Source organism: Homo sapiens, chromosome 1 (assembly GCF_000001405.40).
Source record: "Homo sapiens chromosome 1, GRCh38.p14 Primary Assembly".
In the NCBI taxonomy this organism is placed as follows: domain Eukaryota; kingdom Metazoa; phylum Chordata; class Mammalia; order Primates; family Hominidae; genus Homo; species Homo sapiens.
The window spans coordinates 108,401,724-108,422,469 of NC_000001.11; the positions used below are offsets into that span (position 1 = coordinate 108,401,724).

At 37.3% G+C, this 20,746-nt stretch overlaps 1 protein-coding gene and 1 pseudogene across 6 annotated transcripts in view; one reads left to right on the forward strand and one right to left on the reverse strand.

The window, feature by feature from the left end:
• Positions 1-19,516, reverse strand: part of SLC25A24P2 (SLC25A24 pseudogene 2) — a 37,551-nt pseudogene extending 18,035 nt beyond the window's left edge.
• NBPF6 (NBPF member 6) overlaps positions 19,768-20,746 on the forward strand; it is a 50,430-nt gene continuing 49,451 nt past the window's right edge. For all 6 annotated transcript variants that reach the window (XM_047428683.1, XM_011542012.3, XM_047428685.1 and 3 more), the window contains exon 1: positions 19,768-19,851. The gene's annotated coding sequence lies outside the window, so the exon portion shown is untranslated. The remainder of the gene's footprint in view (positions 19,852-20,746) is intronic.

A 20,746-nucleotide genomic window follows, 5' to 3' on the forward strand; every position in this document is an offset into this window, starting at 1 on the left:
TATCTGACTGAAAGTAAAGAGCAGTTGCCCAGGGATAGGTGGAAGAGTAGAGATTAACTGTAAACATGTACCAGGAATTTTGGGGATAATGGAAATGTTCTAAAAATGGATTATGGTGATTGTTGTACTGTTCTCTTAATTTACTAAAATAATTGAATTTATTTGCACTCTTAAAATGGGTGAATTTTATGTTATATAAATATATTTAAATAATTATATTTTTAAAATTCTGAAAACTTCCTTAGTTTGCTAATAATTATAAGAACAACAACATAGCAAGCATCATACTTAATAGAAGAAATTTTAGAAGCATTTAAAAAAATGCTTCATGAATAAGAAATAATGATTGCCATCCCTGCTGCTATCTAACACAGTACTGAAGATTCTAGCCAAAGATATAAGCTAAAAAGAATTGTTTTCATATGGGAACTAAAATAAAAGAAATAATATTGTTATTAAAAGAATATGGTCATAAACAAGGAAAAACAAAAGTATTAGGTGGCAAATTGTTATAATAAATAAGAGAGTTCAGCAAAGTACCAGATAGAAGATCAACTTACAAAAAGGAGTTTCTCAAAGCAGAAATAATCAAGTGGAAAATTTAATAGGAAAGAAGATACATTCACAAAAGTGGCAAAATCTATACAGCATCTAAGATTTAACCTAACAAAGAGGACAGAAGACCATTTCAGGGAAAAAAATGTAACCTCTGTTAAATAATATAACAAGAAATCTGAATAGAGATAATTTGATCATGTTTGTGGATAGAGTAACTTAAAATTATGAAGATACCTGTTTTACCCAAATTATTCTATAAATTCACTGCTGCAATGGACTGAATGTTTGTGTCCTGCTTCACCGTCAGTTCAAATGTTGAAACCCTCATCCCAGTGTGATGGTATTTGGAGGTGGGGTCTTTGAAAAATAATTACATCAGAAGCCTTCATAAGAAGCCAGACAGCTAGCTAGCTACCTTTCCATACTGTATGAGGATGGCAAGAAGACGGCTCTCTGTCAGCCAGGAAAAGGGCATTCCCCAAGAACCCAACCATGCTGGCAACCTGATCTAGGACTTCCAGCTTTCAGAACTCTGAAAAATAAATGCCTGAACTTTAAGTAGCCCAGTACATATAGCAGCATGAACTGGCTAAGACAGAAATTGGTACTGAGAAATGAGGCACTGCAATAACAAGTACATGAAAGTGTGGAAGCAATCTTGGAAGTGGGTAATGGGTAGAGGCTGCAAGAATTGTGAAGTACATGCTAGAAAATGTCAATGTTGCCATGACGGGATTTTAAAGGCAATTGTGATTATGGCTCAGAAATAAAAGAGGAGAGCTGTACAGAAAGCTTCTGTCTTCTTAAGACAGTACATAATTATGAACCATGTTAGTAGAAATATGGATAGTAGAGGCCATTCATGACAAAGCCTCAAATGGAAATGATGAAACATGTTATTAGAAACTAGAGGAAAGCCCATCCTTGTTATAAAGTGGTAAAAAACTTGGCTGAATTGTGTTTATGTTCTAGTGTTTTGTGGAATGTAGAACTTGTAAGTGATGAAACTGGATACTTAGTGGAGGAAATTTCTAGGCAAAGTGTTGAAGGAGTGGCTTACTTCTTCCCGATCACTTATAGAAAAAGGTAAGAGAGAAATAAGTTGAAGATGGAATCATTAAGCAAAAAGGAACCAGAACTTAAATATTTGAAAATTTCTGAACTGTTAATGTTACGAAAAAATTTTTAAAAAGCATGTTCAGAAGAGAACACTAAGGGTGTGGTGAACTAACCACTTGAAAAGGAGATTCGTGTAAGTGTGAACCATGGACTTCATCAGCCATCTCAACAGAAACCAGGAACAGAGATGGGGCAATTCTAGCAGAAATGCCAGCTGAGACTAAAGGAAAGAGAGAAAATAGGATACAATTAAGGAAGACCATCAGACTTCTTAGAACTTCAGGACTACAGGACTCAACCACTGAGCAGAAAACATGCACTATCCAAAACAAGAGAAGAAGGACCCCAAAGGAGATTCAGAAATCCACAGAGCTGCCACTTCCACCATTGGCCCAGAGTGCCATGGGCTGAGCCAGAGAATGGGGCTGCCTCCACCTCAGTTTCAAACGGTGGGACCAACACGCAGCAGAGCCATGGGGCAGGGCTGTTGGGACCCACTGGGACACCACCCCCACTGGGCAGAGGTATAAAAGAGGAACCATTGCCACCATGAGTCCAGAGAGTAGAACATCAAAATGATTATTCTTGAGCCTTAAGATCTCACAGAGCTTGCCTTGCTATTAACTTGCCTAGGACCCATTTTTCCTTTCCTTCTTTCCTCTTTCTCCCTTTTGGAATGGGAATGTCTCTCCTATTCCTGTATATTTTGGAAGCACATAAATTGCTTACTTTCACAGGTTCACAGCTGGAGAGGAATTTGCCTCAGGATGAATTGTACTTCAAATCTTACCTATATCCAATTTATGTGATATTTAGATGAGACATTGTACTTCAGACTTTTAAAGTTAATGCCAGAACAAGTTAAGTATTTGGGGGCTGTTGGAATGGAATGGGTTTATTTTGCATGTGAGAAGAACATGAATTTGGGGGAGCCAGGGGCAGAATGCAATGAATGAAACGTATGTCTCCAAATTCATATATTGAAATCCTAATCGAAATGTGATGATATTTGGAGTTGCGGCCTTTGGGAGATAATTAGGTCATGAGAGTGGATCCACTATAATTGGAATTAGTGCCCTTAAAAGATGACACCAGAGGTCTAGCTAGCTCTCTTTCCACTATGTGAGGGAATAGAAAGAAGACAGCCCTCTGTACACCAGGAAAAGTGCACTCACCAAGAACCTGACTATATCAGCACCCTGATCTCAAATTTCTAACCTCCAGAACTGTGAGAAATAAATGTTTGTTGTTTAAATCACCTAGACCATGGTAATTTTTTATAGCAGCCCAAACCAAGACAAACGTAATTGCAATCAAGTTTCTAAAAATATACAGTTGAAATTAAGAAAATCAAAAATTCAGTTGAAATTAAGAAAATCTAAAATCTAAAATAAAAGTTCTTCTTTAAAAAAAAAAAACTAGGCTAATTTTGATAAGAAAGATCCTTTCCCCATTGCTTGTTTTTGTCAGGTTGCTGAAGATCAGATGGTTGTAGACGTGTGGTGTTATTTCTGAGGCCTCTGCCCTGTTCCATTGGTCTATATATCTGTTTTGCTATCAGTACCATGCTGTTTTGATTAGTGTAGCCTTGTAGTATAGTTTGAAGTCATGTAGTGTGAGGACTCCAGCTTTGTTCTTTTTGCTTAGAATTGTCTTGGCTATACAGGCTCTTTTTTGGTTCCATATGAACTTTAAAGTAGTTTTTTCTAGTTTGGTGAAGAAAGTCAATGGTAGCTTGATGGGAATAGCATTGAATCTATAAATTACTTTGGGCAGTATGGCCATTTTCATGACATTGATTCTTCCTATCCATGAGCATGGAATGTTTTTCCATTCGTTTGTGTCCTCTCTTATTCCCTTCAGCAGTGGTTTGTAGTTCTCCTTGAAGAGGTCCTTCACGTTCCTTATAAGTTGTATTCCTAGGTATTTTATTTTCTTTGTAGCAATTCTGAATTGGAGTTCACTCATGATTTGGCTCTCTGTTTGTCTGTTATTGGTGTATAGGAATGCTTGTGATGCTTGCACATTGAATTTGTATCCTGAGATTTTGCTGAAGTTGCTTGTCAGCTTAAGGAGTTTTGGGGCTGAGACGATGGAGTTTTCTAAATATACAATCATGTCATCTGCAAACAGAGACAATTTGACTTCCCCTCTTCCTATTTGAATACCTCTTATTTCTTTCTCTTGCCTGATTGCCCTGGTCAGAACTTCCAGTACTATGTTGAATAGGAGTGGTGAGAGAGGGCATCCTTGTCTTGTGCTGTTTTTCAAAGGGAATGCTTCCAGCTTATGCCCATTGAGTATAATAATGGCTATGGGTTTGAAATAAATAGCTCTTATTATTTTGAGATATGCTCCATCAACATCTAGTTTATTAAGAGGTTTTAGCATGAAGTGGTGTTGAATTTTATTGAAGGCCTTTTCTGCATCTATTGAGATAATCATGTGGTTTTTGTCATTGGTTCTGTTTATGTGATGGATTACATTTATTGATTTCTGTATGTTAAACCAGCCTTGCATCCCAAGGATGAAGCCGACTTGATCGTGGTGGATAAGCTTTTTGATGTGCTGCTGGATTTGGTTTTCCAGTATTTTACTGAGGATTTTCACATCAATGTTCATCAAATATATTGGCCTGAAATTTTCTTTTTTTGTTGTGTGTCTGCCAGGTTTTGGTATCAGGATGATGCTGGCCTCATAAAATGAGTTAGGGAGGATTCTGTCTTTTTCTATTGTTTGGAATAGTTTCAGAAGGAATGGTACCAGCTCCTCTTTGTACCTCTGGTAGAATTTGGCTGTGAATCCATCTGGTCCTGGGCTTTTTTTGGTTGGTAGGCTATTAATTACTGCCTCAATTTCATAACTTGTTATTGGTCTATTCAGGAATTCGACTTCTTCCTGGTTTAGTCTTGGGAGGGTGTATGTGTCCAGGAATTTAACCATTTCTTCTAGATTTTCTAGTTCATTTGCATAGAGGTGTTTATAACATTCTCTGATGGCAGTTTGTATTTCTGTGGGGTCCATGGTGATATCCCCCTTATCACTCTTTATTGTGTCTATTTGATTGTTCTCTCTTTTCTTCTTTATTAGTCTGGCTACTATTCTATCTACTTTGTTAATCTTTTCAAAAAACAGCTCCTGGATTCATTGATTTTTTGAAGAGTTTTTTGTGTCTCTATCTCCTTCAGTTCTGCTCTGATCTTAATTATTTCTTCTCTTCTGCTAGCTTTTGAATTTGTTTGCTCTTGCTTCTTTAGGATCCCCTATTTAATAAATGCTGCTGGAAAAACTGGCTAACCATATGCAGAAAACTCAAACTGTTACACCTTATACAAAAATTAACTCAAGATGGATTAAAGACTTAAACGTAAAACCTAAAATCATAAAAACCCTAGAAGAAAACCTGGGTAATACCATTCAGGACATAGGCATGAGCAAAGACTTTATGACTGAAACACTAAAAGCAATTGCAACGAAAGGCTAAATTTACAAATGGGATCTCATTAAACTAAAGATCTTCTGCTCAGCAAAAGAAACTATCATCAGAGTGAGCAGGCAACCTACAGAATAGGAGAAAACTTTTGAAATCTATCCATCTGACAAAGGTCTAATATCCAGAATCTACAAGGAACTTAAACAAATTTACAAGAAAAAAACAACCACATCAAAAACTGGGCAAAGGATATAAACAGACACTTCTCAAAATAAGACATTTATGCTGCCAACAAAGATATGAAAACAAGCTCATCCTCACTGATCATTAGAGAAATGCAAATCAAAACCACAATGAGATAGCATCTCACGCCAGTTAGAATGGAGATCATTAAAAAATCAGAAAACAACATGCTGGAGAGGATGTGAAGAAACAGGAACGCTTTTACACTGTTGGTGGGACTGTAAATTAGTTCAACCATTGCAGAAGACAGTGTGGAGATTCCTCAAGGGTCTAGAAGCAGAAATACCATTTGACACATCAATCTCATTACTGGGTATATACCCATGCACACGTATGTTTATTGCAGCACGGTTCACAATAGCAAAGACTTGGAATCAACCCAAATGCCCACCAATGATAGACTGGATAAAGAAAATGTGGCACATATACACCATGGAATACTATGCAGCCATAAAAAATAATGAGTTCATGTCCTTTGCAGGGACATAGACGAATCTGGAAACCATCATTCTCAGCAAACTAACACAGGAACAGAAAACCAATCACCACATGTTCTCACTCATAAGTGGAAGCTGAACAATGAGAACACATGGACACAGGGAGGGAAACATCACACACCAGGGCCTGTCAGGGGGTGGGGGGCAAGGAGGGGGAGAGCATTAGGACAAATACCTAATGCATGCAGGGCTTAAAACCCAGGTAATGGGTTGATGGGTGCAGCAAACCACCATGGCACATGTATACCTGTGTAACAAACCTGCACATTCTGCACATGTATCCCAGAAATTGAAGCATAATAAATAAATAAATAAATAAAATGAATAAATTTTTTTAAAGATAAGAAAAATCAGTGAGGGAAGGGGGACAAAGAGGAAGTATTTACTTTACCAGGTCAGTATTATACTACACAACCATAGTCATAAAGACAGTTCAATATTGGCATTAAAAAAGAAAACAATGGAACAGAAAAGGAAGCTCAAGAAAATATCCAAGTATTTATGGAAGCTTGATGTGTGAGAAAGGTGGCATCACAAATGAATGTGAAAAGAATTCAATGTTTAGTAGGGTATACTGGGAAAATTCCCTCTACATATAAAAATAATAAAATCAGAGCCCTGCTTTTAATCATGTAGAAATGTGAACTAACAGATGCATTAAAGGCCTAAATGTAAAAGCAGAAACCATAGAACTAATAGAAGATACAGAACGTCTTTGTGACCAAGAGGTAGGAAAGTACTTCTTAATAAGATACCAAAATTGTAAACCATTACATATTTTGTGGATTTACTCACCAAAAATCAAATATTTCTGTTCAACCAGGAATATCATGGACAAAACAAAGAAACAACAGACAAATGGCATACTAGAAAAAATATGTGCACGTCAAAGTACAACAAAGATTACTATCTAAGATAAATATGTAACTCTTATGAAACATTAGGGACATGATAGAAAATCCATAAAAAACTAGATAAAGCATATAAACAGACAATTCATAGAAAAGAACATGTGAATGTCTAATATTCCTATGAAGAGATGTTCAAAATGTACTAGGAATCAAGGAAATGCAGGTTAAAACAATGAAATTCTACTTTATGCCCAACAGAACAGCAAATGCTATAAAACTGAATAATACCAAGTAATAAACAATACATAAAGAAATGGGAACCTTCATACATTGCTGGCAGGAGTGTGAATTGCTACGGCTAGCCATTCTGGAAAAAAATTACGGCAATATTTCATGAAATTAAAACAAAATTGAAACTGGATACCTTAGTAGTTGTAAAAGGTACAAATGCACATTCCCTATGATGGAAAACTGGGTGAAATTCTCTAAGGTACATAAAATGAAAGCATTTTTTATGGGTGAAGTTGGAGAAAAAACTAGATGTCCATTTCTTGGGGAATAGACAAGGAAGAAGTGATAAGTGCATACTATGAGTATGTTAGGAGCAATAAATTAGATAAGCATATAACATCAAGGACAAATCATAAAGTCAGAAATCAGATGTGGTCTCTAGCACAATACTAGCTATACAAATCAAAAACACATGTGTGAAACAATACTACATGCTCCCTAAGAATATGTAAATATATAAATCCAAGAACACAGATGAAACATATCAGATAGAATAAGTGCCTATCGTAACAACTAACATTTATTGAACACTTATGTGCTTAGCCCTGTTTTAAATCTACTAACTAATGTACTAATTTAATTCTCAAAACATTTATCATTTTTATCCCTACTGTATAACTGAGGAAAATGATGCACAGAGAGGTTGATAGAGCAAGTGGGTGGTAGATGTGGAATTCAAGCCTAGGCAGTCCAGAGCCTGTGCTCTTTGCTTCCCCTATGTTCTCTGTGGAGAGGAGGCAAAAACTCAGGAGGGTAAATGAGAATAGTATGCCATGAATAAATAATTAACCCCCACACCTGAGATCTGCTAAAGGAAACAAAGTCTTCAATTACAGGATCTCCTTATTACAACTCCAAGTCAAGGGCTTATATAAAATGAGCAGGCAGATTATTAAATATTTGACCCTTTCTGGTTCTAAAATTTTCAAATCCTAATATTTGACTTTATGTTTTCTATGATAGAAGACCCAATCAGATACAGCATATCTGTGAAAAAAGAAAAATATATTATTTTTCACTTTTCTAGGGCAATCTAAATACTATGTCATAGAAATTAATTCTTAACACAAAGTAGGCACTTTCAGCAGGTAGATTATGATTTTAAGTTCTAGATTTTGGCAAACAAAGAAACTGGTTGCTCTGTTTATACACACAATACTAATACCACTAGCTAAATTAGCAGAACATTATTAGGGGGGAAATATTGTAACTTTAGCCCCTGAGGCTGCAAGTATTGTAGGGGTTATGTTATCATAACAGCTATGACATTTAGAGCAAAATAAAAACAAAGTAAAATACAAAGTAATCTTACAGTAGAATGCTTCCAGAAATGAATCATTTCAGTGATATTTGTTGCAGGATGCAGTAAAAAGTAGTACTTCCATTCATCCCAGTCTACTGTCATTGATCCATCACTATCCATGCTGAAATTTAAAAAAAAAGAAAATAGTACTTGTAACATTTATATCAAAGTTAGCACCACTATAAAAATAAATACTTCTTAAATATTTATTGTTGGAGTCACTCCTTTGGACTTTGTGAAATGACTGTATTTTCATATTGTTATTTAAGTGGACTTTATTTTTTAAGTAGTTTCAGATTTTCAGAAAAATTGAGACGATAACACAGAGAGTCCCATATGTCCCCACACTCAGTTTCCCCATTGGTAACATTTCACATTATTATTGTTATAATTAATGAACCAATATAGCTACATTATTATTCACTAAAGTCCATACTTTATTCAGAGTTTCTTAGTTTTTAACTAATGTCCTCTTTTTGTTTTAGGATCCCAGCTGAAATGGCACATTCTATTTGTCATCACATCTCCTTAGGCTCCTCTTGGCTATGATAGTTTCTCTTTCCCTGTTTTTGATAACCTTGATAGCTTCAAGGAGTGCTGATCAGGTAATTGGCAGAATGCCCCTCTAGTGGAATTTATTCCATATTGCTTTTTAATTATTTACTTGTATGTATTTCTCCCATATTTTCCTATGATGTTTTGAAGGGAAAGACCAAGTCATCTGTGTATCTCCAACACTTAGCATTCAATAAATATCTGTTGAGTGAATAAATAAATGGGTGAAAAGTGAATAAAACTGATTGAAGGGTAATTTTATGTCTTTTGGCTCTTCAAATATTATTTTTACTTCTTATCCTCTTCTCCCTATTTATAGCTTTTTAATCAAGTTTAAAACAACCTTTTATTTATGAATTTAAAGAGAAGACTCACTTTTTACCATGGAAAATTTAGGATTTACTCAATTTTTAAGCCTCTCAATTTTTTTTAAAAAAGGATCAGAAGTTGTTTCATTGTGTCTGACTAAAAGGTGGAATTAGTGAAATGCTTTTTAAGTAGCATTCTTGTAAATACAAATTCTAAAAAACAAATTCCATCCTGCCAACGAAAAGATTAGTACAATTTCCAGTTCTAGCCAAGACAAAATAGTGGCTATAGAACTTAGATTGCCACTGTAAACCAATCTGAAACTGGACACAATATATGAAAAATTGTTTTCAGGCATTGGTCTACAAACAGGACAGGGTTGTGATACTTAGAGAAGGAAACCGAGAAGTTGAGCTCTCCACTGATTCTCGTTTCCTGCTGGGGACACTCCAAATTGTAGCATAGATAAGTAGAAGCCTAAATAAAGAACAGGTGGGTAGAATAAACAAAGATTGGAGCTCAGGGCTGCTGAGAGGGCAGGATTTTCAGGTCAAATTTTGGACAGTGTTCCAGAAACTATACCGGTAACCTTGAATCTTTGGCTGAATACTAAGCTACACTTGACTCCATCAGCCTGACAAAAATAGCTGCTGGAGGACTGTGAGTTTATAGAAATTCAGTAGCTGAGCAATATTGGAGTCCAAAAAATAAAGCAAAGATGGAAGTGAGGGCAAGAAACATTACATACAGGAGGAACTGAAAAAAGCAACCACTGACATCAGAGTCAGCTCTTGATAGCAGACACCTTTTTTTTTTTTTTGAGACAGAGTTTGGCTCTTGTCGCCAAGCCCAAGCTGGAGTACAGTGGCACAATCTTGGCTCACTGTAACCTCCACCTCACAGGTTCAAGCGATTCTCCTGCCTCAGCCTCCTGAGTAGCTGAGATTACAGGCACCCGCCACCACACCCAGCTAATTTTTGTATTTTTAGTAGAGACAGGGTTTCACCATGTTGGCCAGGCTGGTTTTGAACTCTTGACCTCAGGTAATCCACCTGCCTCGGCCTCCCAAAGTGCTGGGATTACAGGCATGAGCCTCTGCGCCTGGCCGATAGTAGACATCTTTAGTGATAACTTCAAAGTGCTGAAAGAAAAAAAACTGTCAACCTAGAATGCAATTGCAATAAAAATAACCTTCAAAAATGAAGGTGATATAAAGACATTTTCAGGTAAACTAAATATTCCCTACAAAATTCACCTGTGGGCAATGTGCACCGCTTCAATCTGCTTTGCCTTATGACACTACATTGTAATCATCTGGAATTATCTACTAGCCTGAAACCCTCAAGTGGGGACTTTGGCTTGTTCACAACTGCATCTTTTGTAGCTGGAGCTATGACTGACATTTATAAAAGTTCTATAAATAAATTTTGAATAAATCATTGAGATCAGGAATTCATAATTTATCTTAGAGTATGATTCAGCAGGGTATTTCCAATTTTCCAAAAACAGTATAGCAACATATAAGTTTGTGAGTAAAGGCTTATAAAATATCACTTGTCATATCAATGAAAAAATCCATAGATTGACAACACTCCCAAGTTTTTATCAAACTTGTCCTGTTATTTCTTTTTTTAAAAAAGCTTTTTTTAATTTTAAGAAAGCTTATTTCTTGTTTAATTACTTATGAATACAGAACATATTCTGTATGATTCCAGTTCTTTATTAAAATCTTTTGCATTTCCTTTATGACCCAATGTATGGGCAATTCTTATAAACGCCCTATGTGTGCTTTAGGAAACACATATTCTTCAGTTTTTGAGTGCAATATTCTATGTATGTTTGCCAGGTAAAGGTTAGTGATGGTATTGCTATATTTAATCTTTAATGGTTAAATCTATACAAATTAGGAACTAGCTTGGGTCCCAAGACAGCTAGTCTTTCTGCCCAGCCTCAGAGGCTCCCAGTGACCCCAACCAGGCAGGGAGATGCCTACCTCTACCCATTTCAAAGAAGCAAAGGGACACGACCAGCTTGACTACGTAAGTCAAGCAGCAGCCATACCCTACCAAAAGCCCATCCCATGGATTCACCCTTAAAGGGAAATAATCCTCAATCATGCATTTCTAAGGAGCATTGCCCCTAGTCCCACCTATCACGAGCAGCAACTCTGCTTAAACTCAGAGCCCAGCTTATGGTCCTGCCCAACTAAAGAACCCAAATAGTGAAATTGTTCATTAAAAAAATACACTGTGACTGGCCTGACCAGAAGCCATCACAGTACTGCCTGATAGCAGAGCCCAGCCAGTGGTCTCATCAGATAGTGCAGCCCAGCCAGTATCTGATACCAGATGTTGATATCAGATGACATCAGAGCAAAGGCAGCATCTCAGCCAACTAGAGAACCCACAACAAGTTCTGCCTGCCAGGGGTCATCACCAGCTGGTCCTTCCAGAATCACAGGCTGGACTAAATAGTGAAGATTTATCCCTGCCTCAAAACAACTTTAAAGGACAGAAGAGAGGCTGCCTTGCAAATATGCAGATAACAATACAAGAACACAAGGATTACAGAAAATCAAGGAATCATAACACCTCCAAAAGAAAGTAATAAAGTGCCAATGATAGACCCCAAAGAAAAGGAGATCTATGAAATTACTGACAAAGAATTCAAAATAATCCTCTAAAAGATCAACATAAAAGTATACAAATATAACATTTAATGAAATTTGGCAAAACAATACACAAAGTGAGAAGCTCAACGATGAAATAAAAACATTAAAAAGAATCAAGTAGAAATCCTAGAGATGAAGAATACAATGACTGGACTGAAAAATTCGGTAAAAATTATTAACCACAGATTCTATCTTTCTTCTGATAGAATCAATGGGCCAAAAAATAGAAAATTTGAAATTATCCAGTCAGAGGAACAAAAAGACAAAAGACTGAAAAAGAATGAAGAAAACCTACAGGAACTATGGGATACCATCAAAAGATCAAACCTGGCCAGGTGTGGTGGCTCACACCTGTAATCCCAGCACTTTGGGAGGCCAAGGCGGGTGGATCACGAGGTCAGGAGATTGAGACCATCCTGGCTACCACGGTAAAACCCTGTCTCTACTAAAAATACTAAAAAATTAGTTGGGCATGGTGGTGGGTGCCTGTAGTCCCAGCTACTTGGGAGGCTGAGGCAGGAGAATGGTGTGAACCCAGAGGCAGAGTTTGCAGTGAGCCAAGATCGCACCACTGCACTCCAGTATGGGCGACACAGCGAGACTCTGTCTCAAAAAAAAAAAAAAAAAAAAAAAAAAAATCAAACCTTTGCATAATAGGATAAAGGGCAAGAACATGTATTTAAAGATACATTGGCTAAAGACTTCCCTAATTGGGGATAGATGCCAACATCCAGATATAGGAAACACAGAGATGTTCAATCAAATTCAACTCAAAGAAGAGTTCACCAAGACACATAGTAATCAAACCACCAAAAATCAAAGACAAAAAATTCTGAGAGCAGCAAAAGATAAGAAACATATCACGTAAAAAGGAGTGCCAATACAACTATCAGTAGATTTCTCAGCAGAAACCCTACAGGCCAGGAGACAGTGAGATGATACATTCAAAGTGCTAAAGAAAAAAAAACTGCCAACCAAGAATACTTTATCTGCAAAACTGTCATTCAGAAATGAGGCATAAAAACTTTCCCAGAAAAAAGCTAAGGGAGTTCATTATCATGAGACCTGCTTTGCAAGGATTGCTAAAGGGAGTTATTTAAGCTGAAACAAAAGGCTGGTAATTAATGACACGAAACAAATGAAAGCACTAAGCTAAATGGTGTAAGTAACACAGATACATATTTAGAATATTCTGGGAATGTAATGGTGACAAAGCAATTTTATCCCTGGTGCAAGGGTTAAAAGAAAACTATTAATAACTGTAGCTAAAATAAATTGTCGAAAGAAACACATTATAAAATGACATAAATTCTGACATCAAAAGCATAAAATATGGGGAAGGGGCCATAAAAGTACTTTGCTATGTACAAAGTTGAGTTGTTATCAGCTTGAAATAGGCTATTACAAGTATAAGATGCTCTATGTAGGCCTCATGGTAACCACAAATCAAAAATCTTTAGCAGAAGGACAAAACAAAAATAGAAAGCATTCAAAGCATTCCACTACAGAAAAATATCAAACAATAAAGGAAGATAGCAAGAGAAGGAGAGAGAAACTAAGTATCTACAAAACAAGCAGAAAACAATTCACAAAATGGTAGTATTAAGTCCTTACCTATCAAAAATTACCTCGAATGTAAATGTATTAAATAACTGAATAGAAAGATATAGAGTGATAAATGGATTTTAAACGTCCTGTTTTTTTTAAAGAAATTTTTTAAATCGAATGCTGTGTACAAAAGACTCTTCTTACTTTTTTTTTTTTTTTTTTTTTTTTTTGAGACGGAGTCTCGCTCTGTCGCCCAGGCTGGAGTGCAGTGGCGGGATCTCGGCTCACTGCAAGCTCCGCCTCCCGGGTTCACGCCATTCTCCTGCCTCAGCCTCCCGAGTAGCTGGGACTACAGGCGCCCGCCACTACGCCCGGCTAATTTTTTGTATTTTTAGTAGAGACGGGGTTTCACCGTTTTAGCCGGGATGGTCTCGATCTCCTGACCTCGTGATCCGCCCGCCTCGGCCTCCCAAAGTGCTGGGATTACAGGCGTGAGCCACCGCGCCCGGCCGACTCTTCTTACTTTTAAGGACACATATAATTGAAACTATTTTGGAAAACAAGAGAGCAGGGATAGCTAAACTTATTTAAGACAAAATAGATTTTAAGTCAAAAATTGTAAAAAGAGACAAAGTAACACATTATATAATGACACAGGACTCAATTCATCAAGAGAACAGAACAGCTATAAATATGTACTCACCCAACACTAGACCATGATTTATAAATTATAGGATCTGGAGGGAGAGATATTGCAATATGATAATACTCAGGAGCTTCAATACCCCAGTTTCAACAATGGATATCTAATCTAGAAAGAAAATTAGTAAGGAAAGATTGGACTTGACCAACATTTTCAACCAAATGAACCTAACAGACAAATATGAAACCTTTCATCCAACAGAAACAGAATACACATACTTCTCAAGGGCACACAGAACATTTTCCAAGACAGATCATGTTAGGGCACAAAACAAGCCTCAGCAAATGTAAGAAGACTGAAATAGTATCAAATCTCTTCTGACCAAAATGCCATTAAACCAGAAATAAATAGCAACAGGAATTTTGGAAAATTCACAGATCCATAGAAACTGAACAGGCCCTAAACAACAAACGAGTCAATGAAGAAATTAAAAGGAAAATTTTAAAAATATCTTGAAACAAACTAAAATGGAAATACAACATACCAAAACTTGTGGGATACAGCAAAAGCAGTTCTAAAAGTGAAATTTACAGCAATAAATCCCTAGATAAAAAAAGAAGAAACATCTCAAATAATTAACCTAATGTTACACCTAAAGGAACTAGAAAAAGAACAAACTAAGTGAAAAGTTAGCAAAGAAAAAAAAAGAAATATTAAAAATCAAAGCAGAAATAAATGAAAGGCCAGGCGTGGTGGCTCACCCCTATAATCCTAGCACTTTGGGAGGCTGAAGCAGGCAGATCACTTGAGGTAAGGAGTGCAAGACCAGCCTGGCCAACATTGTGAAACCCTGTCTCTACTAAAAATACAAAAATTACCTGGTGTGGTGGCACACGCCTGTCATCCCAGCTACTCAGGAGGCAGAGGCAGGAGAATCACTTGAACCCGCGAGGTGGAGGTTGCAGTGAGTCGAGGTCACACCACTATCCACCACTTTCCCTCTGATGCATCACTAATTACTTTAAACCTAAGTGGATTAAACTCTCCAACCAAAAGATAGAGATTAGCAGAAAAATGAGAAAATGGTCCAACTATCTGCTGTTTATAAGAAACTCACTTAAGAGCCAAAGACACAAATACATTGAAAGTAAAAGAATGAAAAAAAATTCCATGCAAATGGTAACCAAAAGAGACCACTGATAGCTATACTAATATGAGATAAAACAGACTTTAAACTAAAAAAAAAAAATGAGATAAAGGACATTATATAATGATAAAAGTTTCAATACATCAAGAAGATACAATAATTACAAATATTTTTTGCATATAACAGGCCATCAAAACATATAAAGCAAAAATTGGAAGAATAGAAGGGAGAAATAGTTAGTTCTACAATATTAGTTGAAGAATTCAATACCCCAAACTGAATAATGAATAGAATAACCAAACAGAAGATAAGTAAGGAAACAGAGAATTTGAACACCATAAACCATCTAGATCTAACAGGCATATACAGAATATACTATACAACAGGAAAAAAATACACACTCTTCTCAGTAACACAGAGGACATTCTCCAGAAAAGATCATACTCTAGGTCACAAAACAAGTCTTAATAAATTTTAAAAGACTGAAATCATGCCAAGTATCTTTTCTTACCACAGTGGATGAAACCGGAAATCAATGACAAAATTAAAACTGGAAAGTTCATAAATGGGTAGAAATTAAATAACACACTCTTGAAAAACTATGGGTCAAAGAAAAAATAAGAAAAATTAGAAAATATCTTTAGACAAATGAAATCAAAAGTACAAGATACCAAAACTTACGAGATATGGCAAAAAGCTGTACTAAGAGAGAAGTTTACAGAGATAAATGCTTACATTTAAAAACAACAAAAAAAAAGAATAAAGATCTCAAATCAGCAACCTAACTTTACAACTTAAGGAACTAAAAAAAAAGAGCAAATTAAATCCAAAACTAGCAGGCAGAAAAAATAAAGATTAGAACAGATATAGATGAAATGAGAAAAGAAATATAATAGAGAAAAACAACTAAATCATAAGTTAGTTCCTCAAAAAGATCAACAAAATCGGCAAACCTTTAGGTGGATGGACTAAGAAAAAAGAAAGAAACAAGAGTCAAATTACTAACATCAGAAATGAAAGTGGGGACATAACTACTGATTCTATGGATATAAAAAGGATTATAAGAGAGTACAATACACTATATGCCAACAAATTGGTTACCCTGGATGAAATAGAAAATTCCTAGAAACACAAAACCTACCAAGACTAAATTATGAAGAAATAGAAAATCTGAATAGTCTATAACTAATGAGGAGGTTGAATCAGTAATCAAGAATCTCCCAATTAAAAAAAAAAAAAGAAAAGCCCAGGATCTGATAGCTTCACTGCTAAATTCTATGATTTAAAAACTAACCCCACTACTTCTCAAACATTTCCAAATAAACTTTTAAAATTTGATTCATCCTATGAGGCCAGTATATACCCTATGAGGCCTATGAGGCCCAATACCAAAGCCATACAAAGACACTACAAGAAAAGAAAATTACAGACCAATGTCTCTCATGAACACTAATACAAGAATCCTCCAAAAAAATGATAGCAAACTGAATTTATTAGGTTAAAAAGGTTATACACCATCCTCAAGTGATATTTATTCCTGGAATACAAGGAGGGTTCAACATTTTAAAAAATCAATCAGTGTAATACATAACATTAACAGAATGATGGCAAAAAACACAAACATCGCAATTGATGCAGTAAAAGCATTTGACAAAAGTCAACAACCTTTCATGATAAAAGCACTCAACAAACTAGGAATACAAGAAAACTATCCTCAATATGATAAAAATCGTATGTGAAAAACCTACAATGAACATCATACACAATAGTGAAAGACTAAAAGCTTTTTTCTCTAAGATTAGAAATAGGCAAGTATGCCCACTTTCATCACTTCATTCAACGTAGTACTGGAAGTTCTAATCAGAGCAATTAGGTTAGAAAAAGAAATAAAAGCCATCCAATTTGGAAAGCAAGAAGTAAAATTATCCCTTTTTCAGATGATATGACTTTATATTTAGAAAATCCTAAAGACCCACCCCCCCCACACACACACAAAATGTTAGAATAAACAAATTCAGCAAAGTGGCAAGATGCAAAGTCAACACAAAAAAATCAGTTGCATTTCTATACCTATATGCTAACAATAATTAATCCGAAAAGGAAATTAAGGAAACAATGCCATTAAAGCATCAAAAGAATAAAGCACTTAGGAATTAACCTAACCAAGAAGGTAAAAGACTTATGCAATGAAAACTATAACACATTTCTGAAACAAATTAAAGAAAACATAAATAAATGGAAAGATGTCCCACGTTCATGGGCTGGAAGACTTAATATTGTTAAGATGTCTATACTACCCAAAACAATTTACAGATTCAGTGCAATCCCTACCAAAATCCCAATGATGAATTTGCAGAAGTAGAAAAACCCATACTAAAATTCACATGGAATCTCAAGGGACCCCAAATAGCCAAAACAATTCTGAAAAAGAAGAACAAAGCAGGAGGACTCACTTCTTGATTTCAAAACTTACTGCAAAACAAGAGTGATTAAAACAGTGTGCTACTAACATAAAGACAGAAATATACACCAGTGGAATAGAATAGAGAGCCAAGAAATAAACACTTAGGCATATGTGCTCAAATAATTTTTGACAACAGTGCAAAGACCATTCAATAGGGAAAAGACAGTTTTTTCAACAAATGAAGCTGGGAAAACTGAATATCTGCATGCAAAAGAATGACATTGGACCCTTAATTAACACCCTATTAAAAATTAATTCAAAAAGGATCTATGACCTACATGTAACTCTTAAAATTATGAAACTTTAGAGAAGACGACACAGGGCAAAATCTTCTCGACAATGGATTTGGCATTGATTTCTTAGACATGACATCAAAGGTACAGGCAACCAAAACACGACAAATTGGACTTCATGAAAATTTAAAACTTTGTGCATCAAAAGTAAAAAGGAGACTCATAAAACGGAAGTAAACATTTGCAAATCATATATATAATAAGGGGTTCATATACAAACTATACAGAAAACTCCTAAAAATCAACAACAAAAAAAAACCTAATTTGAAAATGAACAAAGAACTTGGACATTTCTCCAAAGAAGTTATACAAATGGCTACTAAGCACATGTAAAGATGCCCAGCATCACTAAAGAGGAGTCCAGATGGTTTGGACTTCTAGCAACAACCAAAAAAAAAAAAATCTCACCAATAAAGAGCTTTACAGTCTTCAGACCTAACTCCTAAAATTCAATAGGAGTTATATCTGAAGACTGCTAAGCATTGACAGAAAATAAATAAAATAATTTTTTTCTCTTGATATTCTGAAACTTCCATCTAAATAGTTTAAAAATAATCAAGTCAAGACTGGCCTAGAGAAGGAAGGTATTCCTAATTTAGATGAGGTTCTAAAACAATCAGCTGAAGTGTACACCCATGGATCAAAGTCTGACTTCCCCTAGACCTTGGTGTGGATGTCAGAAAGAGAATAGCTCTGGGGCTCTTATCTGTGCCTGTCGTTTGGAGACGACCCTGAAGCACACTGCCCTGGGCAGAGAAACCCCTAAGAAAAGAGATGTTCCTTTACTTCTGCACAAAGGCTAACATGGCGCCTGACGTTGTGTGCTGGTTCCATAAATTTTGAACGAGTCACCAGAAACAGCATCTCCCCAAAAGCCCCCTGAAGGTCTTTGTCACTACGGAAAGTGGCTTTTTTTTTTTTTTTTTTTTTTTGAGATGGAATCTCGCTCTGTCGCCTGGGCTGGAGCGCAATGGTGCTATCTCGGCTCACTGCAACTTCCGCCTTCCGGGTTCAAGCGATTTTCCTGCCTCAGCCTCCGGAGTAGCTGGGATTACAGGCGCGCGCCACCACGCTCGGCTAATTTTTGTATTTGTTTAGTAGAGACGGGGGTTTCACCATGTTGGCCAGGCTGGTCTCGAATGCCTGACCTCAGGCGATCCACCCGCCTGGGCCTCCCAAAGTGCTGAGATTACAGGCGTGAGACACCGCGCCCGGCCGGAAAGTGGCTATTTTAAGAAGATTGAGAACATGTTTCGTTGGGTCGCATTATTCTGCGTGACGAGGCTCACAGAGGAGAACCCCACCCTTACTCCAAAGGCCTTTGAAAGCAGCTCTGGAAAGGGCAGGGTTTGCTTCTCCCTCTGCCCAACGTCTCCCCAGGCTGCCTGTGCCACCTTCCGGTCTCACCTCCTCGGAGTTGGGGTCAAACGCGGAGCTCCAGTTTCTCAGCCCCTCCTGGAGCTCAATGATGTCCACCACGCCGTCCCCATTGCAATCCAGGTCTTCGAAGAGGATCCCGTAGCGTAAGTAGTCATCGTTATCCTGGCAGGCCACCGCCTCCAGCACGAAGCCCTGCATCCAGAGCAGCATGGCTGGGTCCAGAGGCTGCGGGGACCACTCGGCCACCCAGCCAGCACCGCAGCACTCGCCGCCGCCTCCTCGACGCCTGGCTGCGCAAGGCAGGGGGTCCCGGCCGTCCGCCAGCTTCTGCAACTGTCTAGCGGAGCCGCCGCAGTTCGGAGCCCACGCGGGCCAAGCCACCCGCGCCTGCGGGCTCTTGGGCGCCACGGAAAGGCTGCGCCACCTTGTGGGACCTCTGGCCGAGGCGCCACGCGACAGTTGAGACGCCAGATGTGAGTTGAGGTGCCAGACGTGAGTTGAGGTGCCAGACGTGGCGGCGTTGGGTACCCAGGACCCTCGGACGGGTAGGTCGACGGGGGAACCAAGGGACGTTTGGGGAAAGGGAGCGCATTCCCCAGCAGGCTTGAAAGGGCACTCGCGGGTGTTTAAGATTCTCGCGGTACAGACTCAGTTCCTGCCGGAAGTCACTGCTGCGGGAGATGTGGCATGGAGTGAGCTGCTCAGACTCGCTCTTATGCCAGCATCCAGTACTCTGGTGCCACCCTTCCTCCCAGGACGACCTGCACCTGGGGGTCAGGACCCCGGCGACCCCCAAAAGAGGTCTAAAGAGGGAAGGCCTCCTGAGGAGCCTCTGCCCTGTCCCTGTCTCTTCCCTCCTTACCGGCCTAGCCCATGTTGGCAAACCTATTTTGGCCATACTGGGATTAGACTTTTCATGTTCTTATATGACCTTTTTCCAGTTAATTGGATTGGGTGCAGAAATACTTCTATCTCTATTAATAAAAGAAAAATAAAAATAAATAATAACTAAAGGGAAGATACATACAGATTAAAATTAGAACATGTCTCCAAATCCAGAAATATGAAACACACATCATAACAGTTCCAATTTATATGCCACATTTCTATTCATAAATTTTGTTCTAAAATAAAGAGAAAAAATAAATAGCAAAATACTTTAAAGTAGATCTGAAGCATTCAAAGTATTTTTTGGTATGCATTTATTTTAAATCAATCTCTGATTTTTATTATCTATAGGGCTATTAAGGGATCCAGTTGCCGTTTATTTTTCCTCTATATTTTAGAAGTTCGTATAAACAAATTTAATTTCTAATTCCTTGTTAATTATGAGGCATGATAACACATACTAATTTATCAAGATGTGCTTTATATTAGTCACATTTATGTGAACTTTAGGAGTTGATTATATTTAAGTTTCAAATCTTTCTAGTAATCCTA